Raw genomic sequence first — 17,016 nt, 5'->3', positions numbered from 1 at the left:
CTGCATTTATTTTCATCTAACTGTGCTGAGCTAAGTAGACTGAGTAGGGGATGCCAACTTTGCAGGCACAGGCTCAGCAGTGTTACCTAGAGATGGAGCTCATCTTTTCCTGAGAGGAGGGAAGAGGGCTTTCTATTCAGGCCAGAGCAACTTCTTAGGAAGGGGATGTGGTCCAGGCAAGGAGTGAGGGGAGAGGAAGGTGTGTACACTGAAGTCACACTTTCAGGTCAGATGATTTCTGAGGGTCCTCGTGGCGAGGGTGATGGTGATGATGATGTTGATGCCGTAGTACCATGTGCAGGAGACTCTGGCTCCGGTGGCTGCAGCTCAGGAGAATGCAGGTGCTGGGAGACACAGCCAGGACGACGCCCCGGGGCTGCAGTACACATTTGCTTAATTGAAAAGATGAGAGCTGGACTGATAAAAATGTACTATTAAACACTGAACATAAACTCGTTTTGAGAATTGAAAGAGAAAATACGTCATATAATAAGACTCCATACATTATTTTTTTATTCTCAGCTGCTATTCATCCAACCCTTCCCTATTCAATAAGAGGAGGTGGTGCTGGGCAAGGTGGCTCACATCTGTATTCCCAGCACTTTGGAAGGCCGAGCTGGGAGGATCGCTTGAGGTCAGAAGTCCGAGACCAGCCTGGGCAACATAGTGAGAGACCCCGTCTCTACAAAAAACTTGAAACATTAAAAAATGAAGAAAGGGTAGGATTAACACTTTTATCAGGAAGAAAAAGAATATGTTTTAGCGTGCATGGAAACACCGGGCCCTGGATTCCTAAAGTTGGCTTTCTCTGTTTCTGACAAAATCCAAAGGGGTCTGACTCACTGCTGAGTGATGCGACATCCTGTGTCAACCGCTTTGCTGAAGAGCAGTTCCTCTTTGGAGGACACCTTTAAACAAAGCTACAAGAATGCACATCCTCTTTAGAAGGTGTGCGCTTTGCATGTGTATGGTAAAACAGATTTGAGGTGACTGTTTGCCACAGGGATTAAAACTTTATGGTTTTGATTGCATGTACAAAGGGTGAGAGTTGAAGTAATTATCCTGATAATGAAGGTTAAAAGGCTTTCTCCCGGAAACCCAGATAATTGAAACTAATGTCTATTTTGGCTTGAGACAGCTAGGTAATAGCCTCAATTCTATACTTCGCTTTGCTCACCTAGGCTCTCTAGCAGAAATCTACACTGTTTGCATGTTGGACCATCAGTAAATCTGAACTGCAGCATTAATAATAGACAGGCCAAGCAGCTGATCTGCCAACTAAGATGACAAACATAGATCAACTGTAGTCTCATTCTTTTTCTTTTAAATGGTATTAACCCATACACTCAATGAAAATGTGAATGCACTTATGTGGAATTCCTGGAACGTACGGATTTTGACCAGCGTTTAACGTAGATATCCACTTTCATGGAGACAATCTGGGGAGAAATTAAAAAGCAAAATTTGCTCTGCTCTATAAACATAAAGAAATGGGCATGGGGGATGAATAGTTCTCATTTGCTAAATATACAGCTCATTCGTCTGAGACATAAATAAGAACACTGCCTAAGTAGGTCAGATTTGAGTTTGGGCTTTTCAGAAGACTTGAAAGCTGCACCGTGAATATCCACTTCAAAGCCAGAATCCATTTTTTGTGTGCACATTTTGTTCCTGAGAAGTTTTCCATCTGTTCTCATGTCATGGCTGTGCCACTGTGGCATGTCCTCAGACTCGCTGAATTTCTGGCAACTCACGTACTGTACTTTCTAATGTGGCAGGTAGAGGAGATAATTGGGAGACCTTTGCAGCCAGTGCAGGGAGGGCAAGGAATGGGGGGAGACTTCCTCGGGAACAAATGGGAGGTGAAGAATGCCCCTCTTGCCGTGTAGCTGCTGGGGTCTCGTTTTTAGCTGCAGGATGTTGAAAGAGAGGAAGGAGTGATCTGAGATGCTCCTCCGGGGGTTTGCATGAAATAAAAAACCGGCGCTGACAGAGGTTAGTGAGGTTCGGTTCACTCCCTTCTCGGTACCAGCGCTGTTCTGAATTCAGGATTCTGACAGATTTAAACCCTATTTCCTCGGCGCCGAGGCTACATGATCTGCCTGTCACTTTCTCAAATGATATCTCTCTGACTCCTTTTTCGAGGAGCTCTTCAAGGGGAGGGAACTTTCTCACTAACGTGTCACTCAATCCACCCACCCAGACACCCACTGCTCGTCGAGACTGGCAAAAAAGAAAAAAAAAAAAACCTCCAGATTTTATGCACACTTGAGAAAATGCTTCAAGCCTTCCTCTATACGTGTGATTTATGGAATGTGACACAACTCCGGAGTGCAGTTATCAAAAAGCTGAGGTTTCAGGTGAGGCAGGGCATAACCGAACTTTCTGGTATTTTCTCAAGCTACAGATCTCACTAATAAGAGATGATGTGCATTTTCTTATCCTGGATTGGCTGGCATCAGTGGAATTCCGATGGTGCCGTTAGGAACCACACATGAGCACTGCTTCCGTCTGCCTTTTGAAATGAAACCATGTTTGGCTGCTCATTGACGCCCAGTGCTGGGTGGTATTGCAACCAAAATGTCTCAAGGTGGCATCCACTCTCTTATTGCAATGCAGGGAACTCCAGGACAATGTCTGATCAGCTCTCAAGTCAGGAGATCACAGCCACAAGGGCCTGGCGAGTAGAGAGCTGCCAGACGAGGAGCTGTATCTTCATGAGCCTCCAGTAGTCAGGCATTGCCAACGCTTTGCAGCACCCACCTCAGAGTGCCATGCAACCTACACTGAACGATGGAGGCTCTAGTCCCAGCTCTATAGGCTCTGTCTATGATCATAGACAACCAGTGCAGGCTCTCTGGCCCTCAGTTTCTTCATCTGTAAAAGGAGAGAATAGAGTTGATGATCTCTCACTTTGCACAAAGTGCTGAAATTCTTTTATGCCGTAGGTAGACTTGGGGATAATTGGTATTCACAGACTCCCAAAGCTGGACATGCCTTAAAGGTTGTCTAGTTCAATGGAAATTAACTTGGGGTTTATGAGTCAGTACCAAGTTCAAGGCCATGTATGGTGGCTCATGCCTGTTAACCCAGCATGTTGGGAGGCCGAGATGAGAGGATTGCTTGGGTCCAGGAGTTTGAGACAAGCCTGGACAACATAGCAAGACTCTGTCTTTAAAAAAATCAATAAAGAAAATTAGCTGGGTATGGTGACATATGCCCATAGTCCTAGCTACTCGGGAGGCTGAGGAAGAGGGATGGCTTGAGCCCAGGAGTTGAGGCTGCAGTGAACTGTGATTGCACCACTGCACTCCAGCCTGGGCAACAGAGTAACAAACAAAGAAACAAATGAATAAACAAACCAAGTTCAAAGACAGCCTTTAGGTGGTTAAATGAGCCTCCTGAAATCATGCATAGCCCTTAAGGTGTGTGTGCATTTCTCTGGGGAGAGGATTTGTAGCGTGCATCACATTTTTCAAAGGAGCTTAAAATCTGGAAAGCCCACGATCTACTGTTCTGCTCCAAATTCCCTGTTTTTCAGTGAGGAAAAGGGGGAGAAGGTAAATGGCCTGAGTAAGGTAGTGGATCCCAGAGCTGGGAGCTGAACGAGAGTTTCTGCTTTCTGGTTCAGGCTCTCTTGGCCATATAGTGGTCATTCCTATTGGTGTGGCCTGGGGAGTGAACAGGACCTTCTAGAGTGACCAGGGCTCCTGATGGTGTAGCCGGGCATGTCTGAAAACAGAGATCACTGATTGCACACTGCACAATACCACACTCAGCTCCAAAAGCAACACTGTCTTTTTCCCACAACTAGTTTGCTCTACATCCAGGACTACAGCTCAGTTCTCCTAACCACCGGCTCAGTACCTTTGCCATTGACATGACTTTGCTTTTGAAGATAGCAACCCAAGTGCTCTCTCTCTCTCTCTATATATATGTATATATATATATATATATATATAGCTTTTACTATCTGCATGGGTTCATTTAAGTTGTCTCTTATTTTACCTGTAAGATAAGACTGCCTTCTGGAAAGAGGAAGTCCAGGAAGAGTTAGGTCAAGAGAGAAATATGAATGAATGTGTTATACCTGGCTTCATTCACTAAGTAGAAGGAAATCTAGTGTGATGGGAGGGAGGAAATAGAAAGAGAACTGAAATCTGAATTTAAAATGGCACAGTTTGTTCCTTCCTTAACAATAACAGCAAATTGAAGTAGTTTAGATACTAGAGGATCAAATGTGAAAATCATGATTGGATTCTTCTAGGAGAGAAAGGTGATGTGAAGGCATTTTTCTCATCTCTTCAATTATTCACCCAGGTAAGGGCTCCGCTAAGGCCACTGAGACGTGGTTTTCATGGGATTATGGAGAAGGAAGCCTGGTGTTTGTGTTTTGATTAGTCTTATTTGTTCTTGATGTTCTCTCTTGCTGTCTCTCTGTTTCTCTCTCTCTAATTGTATTATGGATGGGGAATCAAAATATAAGGTAACTGCTGCAACGGTTTCTTGATGTTTTACAGGCAGCCACTGTAAGGCCACCGTTATAGAACCACCGTTTCCTAAGTAATCCTAGCTGCAAACTCTGTTTTCCTTCAAGTGAAGGGTAATCCTTGGCCCGAAATTTAGAGCTGGCATAATACGGTAGGAAGGGTCCTGGAGGCAGAGTTGGAAAATCTGGATATTGGTGTGGGCTCTCCTACTATTGTGGGTGTCCGTTTATATCTTATTGCTTTGTTGGAACTCCCCCATCCCCAGTCCATGGTGAAGAGGGAGCCTAGGTGGTACATGCTCTCGGCTGCAATTAATTGCATCGTCATGCCTGAACTTTAGTCCCAAGATGAGCCAATCAAACAATTTGCAAAATTTAAAGAGACATGAGACCTGTGTGTCAGGCATTGAAGCTGGAAGATGGGATCGGATTTTGGTACCATGGCAACTCAGAGCCACATGCAATCTGAAGTCACAAGGGACAAGAATTAAGAGCTTGGGAGACACTCAGGAGGAAGCAGAGGGGAGAGGTTGGTGGCATTCCACTTCTTGCAAGGTCCCACTGAATCTTTGAGAGTCCCCTGTACTCTTATAATGAATCTTCCTTTACTAAACTCAGTTAGCTTGAGTGGGTCTCTATTGGAACTTCAAATTCCCTTATTCAGACATCGTGTGACCTTAGTTGAGCCATTTTGTTTCTCTAGTCTCAGTTTCATCTTGTATAAAATGAGGCCATTGAATTAGATAACCTTTAAGGTCCCTTTGGGTTTCAGGAATCTATACTTTTAATGTTCCCTGTTAGTGGTATATGAAGCCCTTGGAAACCAGAGGATGCTGGGAAAACCTGCTCTTCTCTTTGTTCTGCTGGGGCTGCATCAGATGATGGGGTTAGAACAGAGGAACATCCAGCACCAATCAAGGTTATGCCTAAAAAGAAAGATGCTGGCTGGGAGAAGAGGCACTCCCTGCCAAACTAATCTGTGATAGGCTAGATTAAAGCCTCCACGGGCTGGTCCTGCTTTGATTCTCCAGTGGACTCAGACGAGATCAGAGAAAGTTGTTGGCAGCTCCCGAGTATTCTCACACTAAATGAGCAGTATAGAGTAAGTACAGCCTTGTTGATTGTACATCAATTTGATGGACTAACTATGGTACAGTAATTAAGCCAAAGAGAACATTCAGAAGTACTTATTGCTATTTGCTGCCTGCTCAATCCCCAGAGTCCTACAATAAATAGAACCATAAGTTTAATTAATACCTGCAGGTCTGATTACTCATTTAGGATAGGCCGTAGTGGACCAGAGGTTAAACTTCCAAAGACATCTTACTGTGAGTGATGTTGAAAATGTCTGCATTTGCCTGTAGCTGAAGTCTGCAAACTATGTCCTACTAAGTCCTTGGGGGTCTACCAGAGGTGGCCCCCATAGAAGGTGGGTACAGTGACAGGGCAGTCCAGGCAAGCAGCAGCGCCTGGTTAAGCCTCAATTACACTTGCATTTTCTTTGCTCTGCAAGTTTTGAGACTTTTGGTGACTTCCCCTGCTGCTCCTAGTGTGGTGCCACATTTCTTTCTTTCTTTTTTTTTTGATATAATTTCTTTCTTTGTTTCTTTGTTTCTTTGTTTCTTTGTTTGTTTGTTTCTTTCTTTCTTTCTTTCTTTCTTTCTTTCTTTCTTTCTTTCTTTCTTTCCTTCTTTTTCTTTCTTTCTTTTTCTTCTTCTTTTTTTTTTTTGGCAGAGTCTCACTCTGTCACCCAGGCTGGAGTGCAATGGCATGATCTTGGCTCATTGCAACCTCCACCTCCCGGATTCAAGCAATTCTCCTGCCTCAGCCTTCCGAGTATCTGGGATTATGAGCACCTGCCACCACACTTGGCTAATTTTTGTATTTTCAGTAGAGACAGGGTTTCACCATGTTGGCCAGGCTGGTCTCAAACTCCTGACTTCAAGTGATCCACCTGCCTTAGCCTCCCAAAGTGTTGGCATTATAGGCATGAGCCACCGCACCCAGCCTGGTGCCACATTTCTGTCAGCACATGAGGAGGCTGCTGTGCCCCTCCTCATTGCACCCAAATCTAGTTTCCAAGGGTTGAAGCAGGTAGAGGAGTCTGCCAAGTAGCTGAGACAGACACTGCCCTGGGATGCAGATTAGTAACCATGAGGCTCACTTCTCCTCGATTACAAGTGGGCTTGGTCCAGAGCCATCGCTCACCAGGGGCCAGTGATTATGGTCGTAATTGTCATGGAGATCTTCACTAGAACACTTACTTTGGTTTTCGTCAATCTTATTGAGAGGATGTGGATAAGGAATACGTAACCCACAGCATTGCCGTGAGATGACGTAACTCCAGCGCTGAGCTTAGGCCACTGCCTGGCCTGTTGAAGTGTTCACCCAGCCTTAGCTTGCAGGTCAGGATCATGCTAAGTGCTCTCATTCATTGCTTCATTTAATCTTCACAGCAGCAATAATTGGGATTGCCCTATTTTATAGAGGAGGAAACTGAGGGCCTGGGGGTTTATGTAACTTGCTGATGATCACAAAGCTGGGGCTCCAGTGCAGCTCTATCTCACTCTCAAGTCCATGCCCTTAACAATCCACATGACATGTAGGAAGACTGGGAGTGTGTGGGGCTGTTGCCCTCTGAGAGCTGAGGTGAGAACCTACAAGGTGAGAAAGGGCTTCCTCGGTTGGCAGGGAGAGATGAGTTTGGGTTGACGGAGGAGCACTCCTGGCTAGATAAACTTTTCCAATAGGAGACCAAGAGGCTGGAGAGCATTCCTGTGTGTACTGGGGTTGGGCCAAAGGCAAAAAATGTTTTTACAACAAGAAAATTAAAGGAAAAAGAGTATATTGAGGATACAAAAAGGTAAAGACTGAAAGAGAAAAAATGTTTATAACAAAGAAAGGTGGAGAAAGGAAAGACAAAAAAAGAGAAAAAGAAATGAATTAAGGGAAAAACAGAGCTGGAGGGAGCAATAGACAATGAGAGGAAGGCAAAGGGTTCAATTCGAACCCAAGGGCAGAGAATCGATTGTCTCAGAGTAAACACACAAATGCCATGTGGATGTTAACAGTGGCGATATTTAATGACTCAGTCCCCTGCTAGGCCAGGCTTGATTTTCATCCAGGGCTCATGCCACGTTTAATAAAACCAGGGATGGGACATGAAGCCACACTCTGCATCTGGGAGAAATGTACTTGATTTTCTGCAGGAAACGCTGCTTTTGGAGCCAACAACTATGGATGTGTTGTCCAGAGGAAACCTGTGGATCAAGCAAGGTTTGGGTTTATGTCTTGTGAGCGCTTCATTAGTGAGAAGGGATTACTCAGAAACAGTAAAATGGGAAAGTTCCCATAAACTGTATAGCAACAAGAGTGAAAAAACATTAAAATATTTGTAAATGTATCAAACATGTTGAAACACTTGAAATAACGAAAAAATATCTAAATAAACAGGATTCTATAAGTTTGTTAGGTCTGGCTTCAGAAAAATTACTGATATAAGCCAGGCTCACTAAATTGAGAGACGTGTCTGGTGGTGACCCGAAGCCATTTCTGAATTCAAAACCAAATTTCTGTTACAGAATCTATAATGGTTCTTATGACAATCAACTTTCTGTTGGCTTTCAAAAGAAACTTGCAGATATTCTTACATCATCTCCTTTCCAGTTTCCCAGAATTAAAATTGAGATCCTACTTATTTACAAATGAACAGACCAACCTTGTGAATAACATCATAACATATACTAGTAGAAAGAATCCTCCTCATTGCTTTGAAATCACCAACCACCTGGTGCAGGCACCTAGCGCTAAGGTGGGTGGGGCAGGCAAGGCCGTGATGGCCAGGCTAATCCTTTTTTTTTCTCTTAAGAAATCAGATCAATGTATGGTTGATACAGTTAAGTGTCACATAATCAATTGAAGAACTAAGGCAAAAGAAAAAATACCTTGTTGATTGTACTGTAGCAATAGAGTCTCATTATGTAGATGTGGTCTGAATCTACACAAGTAAATGTAGTGAAAAGTGAAGAGGAAAATTGAGGCAATTTCCTGAATTATTCAAGGAAAAAAACTCCTCTTGCCTCAATTATTCGTATGGTACTTTTCTTTGAAAGTGAGGAGAGTGGGAGAGAACGGGAGGGAGAAAAGAAAGAAAGCTTGATTGCGTTAATTCTCCACTTCATTTTGTAGATTAAGGCACATCTATAGACATTATTACTCATCCCTGTGTACCGTAGTTTACTTCTTGACAAAATATTACTTTGCCATTGTGTATATGCAGATTTTACCCACCCTATGTTTTTCTCCAGTTAAATGGTGAGAACTTGAACTGACACTATCCTTTTTTCCCCATAAATAGGATGCCTACAAAAAGACTAATTTCCCAGTAATCCAACTTATTCCAAACACTCCACCCACAAGGCAGCAAGTGAGGGAAAAAATAGAATTCTGCTTGAAGATGTAAGTCATATCACCATCCAAAGATCTATTCTACCTCCCTTTCATTGATAGGGAGAAATAATCAGTGTTTGAACCTAGAGTGGAAAATTTTCAACAAACAACGGAAATGTCCCCAAAGCTCACCTTCCAGGGCCACCGTATGTGGTGTGCAGGTAGAGCATGGCAAACTGGAGGCATTTCCAGGGCCACCCTACGTGGTGTGCAGGCAGAGCATGGCAAACTAGAGGCATTTAATATTTGTATACTTATTAGGACAAACTTCTGGCAGAGAGCAGTTACCTGTCCTGACAAAATCAGAACTTACGACAAGAAGTAAAGTGTCTTAGGAAGGGGCACCATTTTCTAATTCACGTAAAGTTGCTGTATGGGCTAATGGTAGCTCTGGTTGTCAGTTATCTTAAGATTTAGAGAATGTGGTCTGGATCCAGAGAGGAGCAGTAGAAATGATTTGGGAAATCAGTGGTTTGGGAAATAAACCGGTATTAGTCCGTTCTCATGCTGCAATAAAGACATACCTGAGACTGGGTAATTTATAAAAAAAAGAGGTTTAATGAGCTCATAGTTCCACATGGCTGGAAAGGCCTCATAATCATGGCAGAAGATGAAGGAAGGGCAAAGGGATGTCTTACATGGTGGCAAGCAAGAGCGCATGTACAGGGGAACTCCCTTTATAAAACCATCAGATCTCACGAGACTTACTCACTATCACAAGAACAGCATGGAAAAACCTGTCTCTATGATTCAATCACCTCCCACTGGGTTTGTCCCATGACATTTGGGGATTATTACAATTCAAGGTGAGATTTGGGTGGGGACACAGAGCTAAACCTTATCAAAACCTTAGAAGGAGATGCTAAAGGAATAGGGTTAGAGAGCTAGGAAAGAGAGAATTCACATTGGTCTTCCGGAGTGTGAAGGTCTGTGTAGGCATTGGTTTGTGGCTCTTGTTGGTGTCCACCAAAGGAGAGTGTGAAATGAAATGGGCTTAAATTAAATGGACTTAAAATATATCTATTCATGTTACATAGAATTGCTGAACTGGAGCTTTGCTATGAGTAAGTCCTAATATGGCATTCATTCCGTAATCAAGTAGGAGCTTCTTAGAGAGGGGTTTTTGCTGTTAGTGTCTATCACCTAGTGTTACTTTGCATGATGTAAGAGAACTCAGGGAAAAGCTCAAAGCACTAACAGTGATGTGTCTGTGTAACCCAAGGCTTTTCAGTCAACTCTCTCTAGCTCATAAATCAGCGCTTCTCCAAGAGTGTTATGAACCCTGCACCCTCCTTGTCAGTGCTGATTTCTGCACCCATCTCCCAGGTAGGCTAAATCAGAACTTTTAGTGGGTAGAGCCATGGACTCTATATTTTCTCACGTATCATTGTTTGAAAATAACTAAATTAAACTATAAGCTGTTTAATGACATGAATTAGATATTCATTTTTATAACAGACTCTCAAAAAGTACTGTATATGTAGAATAAATCTCTTAATTATTACTGCACCGAACTAACAATAAGGTAAATTATAAGGTTATGATATTTAAATGATTTTATACTAGCAACTATAATTTTCTGCAAGTTTTAGGATTATTATGTAAATGTCACTTTGTGGGTTTTTGAAATATCAGAAAATTATGAAGCTTATTAAGAATATACTGTAAGACCTTGAAGACTATTAAACATAAATAAAACTTAGTCTAACGCAAAAGTCTTCTATTCATGAAGATTTGTTTCCCAGCATTTTTTATGTTGACAAATGCATTTTCTATATGGCAGGGAAAGGAAGAAATCAAGGGATTTGTGTATTTGTCAATGAATAAGCTTTACTGAGTCCTGGCAGGTGGTGCCTGACTGATACAAATCCTGAATTTGTACTTGTGATAATATTCAAAAAGTGGGACAAAACAACCTTCCAACCTTAGAATAAAATAGCAGGAGCTATGTCAATCAATAGCCTAGAACCCAGCTACCTGCCCTCCTGCATGATGCCCTCCTTCTTCCTCTCCCTTCACTAAGTTACCATCTGGAATAGAATCCAATAGTGATCCACCAATGGACAATTTTTGCTATGAAGGAGGAAAGAGAGGACAGATTTGATTACAACAAAAGCATCCCAAGAATGTGTCCTGCATGAGCTCTTCAGGCTGTGAAATCTTGAACTTCTACACCCATCCTTGGCTGGCTTTTTCCATGTGAGGCCATATAGAGGTACTACCACCCTTGCCCTGCTTCAGTCCTCCTCTCGCCTGCCTGAGTTTCAAGTGCAATGGAAATGTGCTTAGTTGATGGTGCCAACCCCTACCTGCACAGCCACAAGGAAGAGGTGACCCATGCAATACATTCAATCAACACCGAGCCCTTATTAACCACTTCAACTTTCTACCTAACCAACAGTGTCATCTGTGGCAGAAAACCAATTGCATAAAGTCTTTTTTTTTTTTTTTTTTTTGAGATGGAGTCTTGCTGTGTCACCGAGGCTGGAGTGCAGTGGCGCTATCTTGGTTCACTGCAAGCTCTGCCTCCTGGGTTCACACCATTCTCCTGCCTCAGCCTCCCGAGTAGCTGGGACAACAGGGCCCACCACCACACCCGGCTAATTTTTTGTATTTTTAGTAGAGACGGGGTTTCACCATGTTAACCAGGATGGTCTCGATATCCTGACCTCGTGATCTGCCTGCCTCGGCCTCCCAAAGTGCTGGGATTACAGGTGTGAGCCAAGGCGCCTGGCCGCATAAAGTCTTTTCTAGTGGATTCTTCAGCTTCCTGTTCTCTACTGATGGCCATAGACTCTTGGGTGGGCAGAGGAGTGGGAAGGAGTTATTGCTAAGGGTCCATGAACGTGTAACTCCTCATCATTCCACCCCACTAGGATTTAATGAATCCTTCTAATGTGTCAGACTGTGTGGAGTATGCTTTGTGTAATAGGTTGAACCATAGAAACTGCCATTCTTGTAGGTAAAAAATGGTTGTTTATGTAAGCAATTTTCCATGATCAACCTAATACATGCCATCTTACTTCATCTTTGAAGTAACTTATGAGGTATTACCACCGTCATTTTCCAGAAGAAGAAAGCTGAGGCTCAGAGTGATCAAGAATACCCAGCCAGAACGTGGCATCTGGGACTTCTGTCTCCACTCTGTTATCCACCAGCACCCTTGGGCCCTATTGCTTGGCTAGATGGGCACTCTGCATGTATCAGGCATTGTCTGTCACCTGAGTCACTACATGTATGACATCATATGTCTATTACCAGTCTCAGATATACACTAAGAAAATAAGATTTCATTAAAGTATTTTCTAAATTCATGGTAGTGTTTTTGAAATTAGGCATCTTGTCAATCAAAGAGTGTGCAGAAAAATTGTCCCAATATTTCATGGGTACACAACACTGATTCTGCCTCAATCCCAATCCCACAAATCATGAAGCCTTGATACCTTTCTTGGGGGAAGTAGTCTGGAGCTTGTCCCCTGGACCCCATTTACCAGGGTGTGTCAGCTTATGCCTCTAAATGTCCCTCTTCCCTCTCAACTGCTTTGAGCCTCTGTGCTGATGACAGTGTTCCAAAGATTCAGTGGGACAATTTACACCAAGAGCTGAGGTGTGGCGCTCGACCCAGTGCCTGCAGCAGAGTAAACCCTTAGGAAATGAGCAGTGTCATTATCTGGCACATTCTGATGACCTAAGAACTCAATCAGCACTTTTGAGTTGGCTTGTACTATAATCAAGCTTTTTGACCTATCTTTTAGCCTTGTGGCCCATCTATTAATCCCATCTCAGTATGTTTCTACAGTGGGTATGAACATATAGAGTGGAAAAATAGACACTGGAGACTCCAAAAAGTGTGAGGGTCAGAAGGGGGTGAGGGAGAAAATATTACCTTCTGGGTACAATGTACACTATTCAGGCGATGGGTATACTAGAAGCCTAGAATTCACCACTATGCAATATATCCATGTGACAGCTACACTTGTACCGCTAACTCTATATAAATGAAAAATAAAAACGTTTCTATATATTTTCTCTCTCTCCTTCATCATCTGCAATCGTGCAGACCAAACTGCATGTCACTTTGAAGTTCTCTTATTCTAATTCCCCTCCTCCAGTTTTTTTTCTAGACTGGGGCCATTCTATTTCTATAAAATGGCATACTTCCATGTGTCAAAAATGGCAAGAGCTTATAAGTGTGCAGTGGATAGATGACAAGTGTACACTTCTGCTGTTTAACATATGTTGCTTCCGGCTGGGCGTGGTGGCTCACGCCTGTAATCCCAGCACTTTGGGAGGCCGAGGCGGGCGGATCATGAGGTCAGGAGATTGAGACCATCCTGGCTAACACGGTGAAACCCCGTCTCTACTAAAAATACAAAAAAATTAGCCGGGCGTGATGGTGGGCACCTGTAGTCCCAGCTACTCAGGAGGCTGAGGCAGGAGAATGGCGTGAACCCGGGAGGCGGAGCTTGCAGTGAGCCGAGATGGTGCCACTGCACTCCAGCCTTGGGGAGAGAGAGAGACTCCGTCTCAAAACAAAACAAAACGAAACAAAGCAAAATATATGTTGCTTCCAATTTTTTTTTTCTTGAAGGTTGAAGTTTGCTTTTATTCAACTGTTTTCACTGACGAGATATGCATCATGGCTTTATCTGGTGACGATCCCTTCTTAGGCAGATCGTGGGCTTTCTGCAGGAAATACTTCCAGTTGTTTGAGAAGGGCATCAAGGTACTAATTCCGGGCCACCAAGACTGAACGCCTGAACGAGGCAACAGAGCTCATAAAATGATGGCAACTTCGTGACTGTTGGCTTGCAGGCTCAGAGTGGTTTTTCTTTAGTGTGGGTAGAAGGAAGTATTGGTTATTAGGTTTCAGTTTCTTCCATTTAAGGAAAAATGGAAAGGGATGTGAAGTAACTCACAAGTATTGAGAGTGTACACGAATGATGGCCATCAGTTGGTTTTATAATACGATGGCATTTGAATTGGATATGCTGGCATTGAATCACCCAAAATATGTATTTATGCATTAGATTTGTTCAAAATTCATGGTGCAGTTTTATTTTTAACAAGATTCAGGAAAAAATAAATAATGATTCTGATTTTTGTCCTTAGGTTACATATGACAGTGATTCAGTGTGGCCCTGTACTAATGGAATTCATGTAAGATGTAAACACACTTGGAAACCAGTTTGAAAGAAGTCATTTATTGAGGCAAAAAAAAAAAAAAAAAAATCTCCTTGAATATACAGGAGTCATTACATTGCCATTATCTTCAACAAAGATTTATTGAGCACCTACTATGTGCGTAGTTATGATTCAAGTAACCCTGATACCAGTTTAGCAATAGATTGATTTCATTAGAATGTTAAAATGAAGTTCCATTTGTGAAATACATTCATTATGTATACTTCAAAGCGTATTATTTGTATCTGCTTATAGGTTATTGGCCATTATATATGTATTTATGTGTTTGATTATGCTTCATATATTGAAAATGTTTCAAATAGCCATGTGAGAATAAATTCCTTGTCAAGCAAATTGGAATTTTTCTCAAGAGTTCTCTCTGCTCTATGAGTTTTGTGCAGCACCTGCACACAAATACTTAATGTTTTTCTTCAGAAAGTTTACGTCCACGAGAGAATTGTCTCATGGCTTTAAATACAGTCAAAACTCAAGCATGATGCCTTAGAGAGCTGTAATTTACATTTTAAAGGGCTTTGCCATACATTAATCAGTTAATCATGTAATGTCATTTATTGCACTTTTGCTAAATGACAGGCATTGTACTAGCTACCTCATTTAATCTTTCCAACTATACCGAAAGGAAGATACTATTGTTATCCCATTTTGCAGATGAGAAAACTGGAGGACTCAGTTACTAAGTGGCATTGTCAGGGTTTGAACTTGGGCATTTTGCCTCTACAGCTTGTGCTTTTAATCATTACATACAATTCCTCCAACTCGGGCTAGTTTTAAAAATTGGCACTGAATGTGGTTGACTCCTTCGAGGGTGAAGGTAGAGTGCAGAGGAATATAGGATCAAAAAATAATTGAGCAAACAGTTGGCTTATCTGTTGAATGTGGTTGAGCTAATGGATCAATGGAGCAATACAGCCATATCAGCCATGGCCATGATTCCTTGGATTTACTCCTCTCTCCTGGCTTCAGCCTGTTCCCAACCTTTGCCTGGTTAATTCCTCCTCATCCTACAATTTTTCCCTTGCATTGGCCATTTCTACATGCTCCCACATCACCCTGGCTTCTTGCCCAACACCCAGCCAATCTATGCAATTCATTTATTGTGTAGTCTGAACTTGGTACAGGGATGAACAAGACATGGTTTTGTTTTGTTTATTTATTTTAATTTTCACCTTAATCAATTTTTCTTAACTCTATCAGTTTCATCCCTTAGTTACATCTCAGGCAGATTTCTTAGGTCTCTAATCCTTTTCAGTTATTAAAAATCCATACCAGTTCAGTTTAAAACGTGTTCTCTACTCTCCTCCACCCAACCCTCATCCCCAGCTGGGGCCTGAGGTTTTCAGCAGGGGCCCCTCCTCTTTCACATCTCTTCCCCCGTCCTCTGGCCCTAGCTCCATTGGGTTGGGGAGGGAAAAAAGGGCCAGGAGAGAGGAGTGAGGGGTCCTCTTGAATTTCTGGCTTCAGCTGAAGTTCCTCTCTGGGCTAATGCTGGTTCCACTGGCTAATGCTAGCCCTAACTTACACACACACACACACACACACACACACACACACACAACTGTGGGCTCTCTCTAGTGCTATGAATTCTTCAGCGGGCTCTGTCCCCACTGTGCAGTTTTCTTTATGGGAGATCATCTCTTTGTGACCTCTTAGAACCCTCTTTCAGCTCCCTCCTCTGTGGAACGCCCCACAGCCTCCTGCTGTGTGTGAAAGTGGCCTGGGTGGCCAGAACAGCCCCCGACATGGCACATGTGCAACATGGCTCAGGTGGGACCCCTTCTTTGATGCCATGCAAGGAAGAGTCATGCATCTTTGTGCACACAATAGCGGGGAACAGATTGCTCCTTTGTGTGGCAATCTGCCTTGCTGTTGTCTTCCCAGTTCTTTTCTCTCCTATCCCCACCCAACAGAGGGCCGATCAGCAGCCCTTTGTCTAAGCAGATGCCCAGCCAAGGTGTGGAGATGCCTGTTTCCCAACATCTAGGAGACATTCTTATAGAATCCCTGCTTACTTCTGGAGGGAGAAGTCATGGTACTCACCCCTCCCTGAGTAAATTGCCAGTGTCTTTCTCAGCCTTCTCTGCTCTCAGTATTCTTTTGTAAAACTAGATTGGATGATTCTTAATAAGCCCTGAGGATTTATCTGGTCCACTTTCAGCTGTGTGTGTGTGTATGTGTGACTTATCTTTGTCCTTAGATTTGAGTCCCAGGAAAAAGGTCACTTTAAATATCATGTTACTTTGACAATTACTTATTTAATATACATATTCCCACTAGACCAAGTGCAGTACACTGTCTTAATCTCATTTACCCTCTGATTCTTCTTGAGTTGCTGCAGGTGATAAGCATCCTGATGGAACTGAGCTTCACTAACAGGAGGACAACACTGATTGCAGTATCAGGGATGATATAGTTTGAGCCGGATTATAGAGCTCATCAACTGATCCACATCTTAAATGCTCCATCTTTGGCATAAGGTGTTTGTAAATAATATGCAGGGCATTTATAAATATGATGGGATACTTAATACCAAAATTAACTATAAGTGAATTGCTGGGATAGAATAAAATACAGAAAACGAATACATAAGATCAATATGTTACCATAAAATTAAAATATTTAATAGCTTCAATTTCTACTTATGTCAAAATTCCTGTAATTATGTTTAATATCCTTTCCCCTTTTCTGCCCACATTCTGGGAACTGTCCTATTAATAATGAAATGAGAGCTAGATAAAAAGATAAGGAAGGGAATCAAAAGGGTTGCTTATTCTTTTCTTGATTAATCAAGGAATCATTAGTTATATTTGAAGAATATAATACTATCTCTTTAATAACAAAAAATTAGATATACGTGTGGCAAATCAATATATGCA

At 42.4% G+C, this 17,016-nt stretch overlaps 1 long non-coding RNA gene across 2 annotated transcripts, besides 1 other annotated feature; it reads left to right on the top strand.

The window, feature by feature from the left end:
• The first annotated feature begins 4,978 nt into the window (after positions 1-4,978).
• LOC105378073 (uncharacterized) lies at positions 4,979-16,772 on the top strand. Of its 2 annotated transcripts, none has more exons than NR_187999.1 (6): positions 4,979-5,018; positions 7,699-7,765; positions 8,847-8,947; positions 10,161-10,264; positions 10,962-11,153; positions 16,470-16,772. It is a non-coding gene; the product is annotated as an uncharacterized LOC105378073 (long non-coding RNA). The 2 variants fall into 2 exon arrangements; NR_188000.2 differs by lacking the exon at positions 16,470-16,772 and adding an exon at positions 11,975-12,252.
• Positions 6,440-6,954: an enhancer, noted in NCBI's record as "NANOG hESC enhancer chr6:156824178-156824692 (GRCh37/hg19 assembly coordinates)". NCBI's record gives its function as "activates a minimal SCP1, AML or CMV promoter by ChIP-STARR-seq in naive H9 embryonic stem cells {active_cell/tissue: H9 hESC(naive)}" and the evidence as "EXISTENCE:reporter gene assay evidence [ECO:0000049][PMID:30033119]".
• Positions 16,773-17,016: the final 244 nt, after the last annotated feature.

This window comes from Homo sapiens, chromosome 6 (assembly GCF_000001405.40).
Source record: "Homo sapiens chromosome 6, GRCh38.p14 Primary Assembly".
NCBI lineage: Eukaryota > Metazoa > Chordata > Mammalia > Primates > Hominidae > Homo > Homo sapiens.
This window is presented reverse-complemented; position numbering and strand designations above follow the sequence as displayed.